Source organism: Homo sapiens, chromosome 2 (assembly GCF_000001405.40).
Source record: "Homo sapiens chromosome 2, GRCh38.p14 Primary Assembly".
NCBI classification, from domain to species: domain Eukaryota; kingdom Metazoa; phylum Chordata; class Mammalia; order Primates; family Hominidae; genus Homo; species Homo sapiens.
This window is the reverse complement of record NC_000002.12, coordinates 234,212,402-234,213,579: the sequence shown is the minus strand read 5'-3', so window position 1 is coordinate 234,213,579 and position 1,178 is coordinate 234,212,402. Positions and strand designations below refer to the sequence as shown.

Here is a 1,178-nt window from a genome sequence, read left to right as displayed (position 1 = left end):
TGGTGGTCTCTGGCCCCCTCTTCCAGCTTGATGACATCTGAGGGAGAGGAAGGTAACTTAACCTCACTGCATCAGGGGGCCAGGAAGTGGCAAATTTCCTAATGAAAGGTGTCTGGGGCTCCTTTTCCGTGGTCCTTGGCCCTTTCTAGCTTGATGACATCTGGGTAGAGAGGAAAGTGACTTAACCTCACCGCATTGGGGCAGGGAGGACCTTGAGCCCACATGCTGGTCCCTGTGTGTCACCTCTCTCCCCGCTTCACGCCGAACCTCTTCTGATTTTGAGTTTTGAGAAGCTGACCTGTAAGGGCCACGTCCATAGGGGCATCGCAGGAGATGGGAGAGAGGGGGTGACTTGCCCTCGTTTTTTTCTCTCAAGTGTCACTGGGGGCTGCCTTGTCCTTTGTCAAGGTCTCAGCTGGTGGGAGGTACCCTCTCCATACACCATTCCCCTCTCCATGCACCCTCCCCCTCTCCATACACCCTCCCTGTCTCTGGCTTCAGTGACCGAGGATGCTGAACTGCCCCCTGCGGGGCTCCTGCCCTCAGATGCACCTTTGGAAATAGTTCCTTTCTCCCCCTCTAGTCCAGGTGTCTTTAACTTCGGTGTTCTCTGTCCCTGGAAGGAATTCTGATGAGAATCTGGGGCCCCCTCAGGCCTCCGAGCCACGTCCTGATTCCACTGGTGCCCGTCTGGCCCTACTGCTAACTCCTGAACTACGGAAACTCAGGCAGCTCCCCCAGCACACCCTGGGACCTGTGGGCCCCATGCTGGTTCTCACTAGAGCTGCTGGTCCTCAGGGTCTCAGTCACAGACAGCAGCTCACCCAGCAGCCTTGGCCATGGTGTCTGCCCACATCTGCCACGGGCCCTGGGTGGGCGTGACTTCGGACTCTCAGCCCCTCCCTCTGGACCACTCCCTGCTGCTGTGGTGACAGGGGCAAGCTGTTCTCCTCCTGGAGCCCCAGTGGGACAAAAGCGCCCTGCTTACCCCTTTCCTTCCTGTTTTTCCAGGGTCTGTAGCCTTTTCCTACCCCCAGGGAGCTCAGTCCGAGGAGGCCTCAGGACTCTGACTTTCCACTTCTTTGCCCTCCTCGCCTCCCCGCAGCCTGCCAACTCGAGTGGGCTTTCTCCTCCCTTGCATGCCCCATGGGGGTCTCCTCTAGGTCAAACGTGCCCCT

The 1,178-nt window shown here is 58.5% G+C and overlaps 1 annotated feature.

The window, feature by feature from the left end:
- Nucleotides 313-813: an enhancer, noted in NCBI's record as "H3K4me1 hESC enhancer chr2:235121411-235121911 (GRCh37/hg19 assembly coordinates)". NCBI's record gives its function as "activates a minimal SCP1, AML or CMV promoter by ChIP-STARR-seq in naive H9 embryonic stem cells {active_cell/tissue: H9 hESC(naive)}" and the evidence as "EXISTENCE:reporter gene assay evidence [ECO:0000049][PMID:30033119]".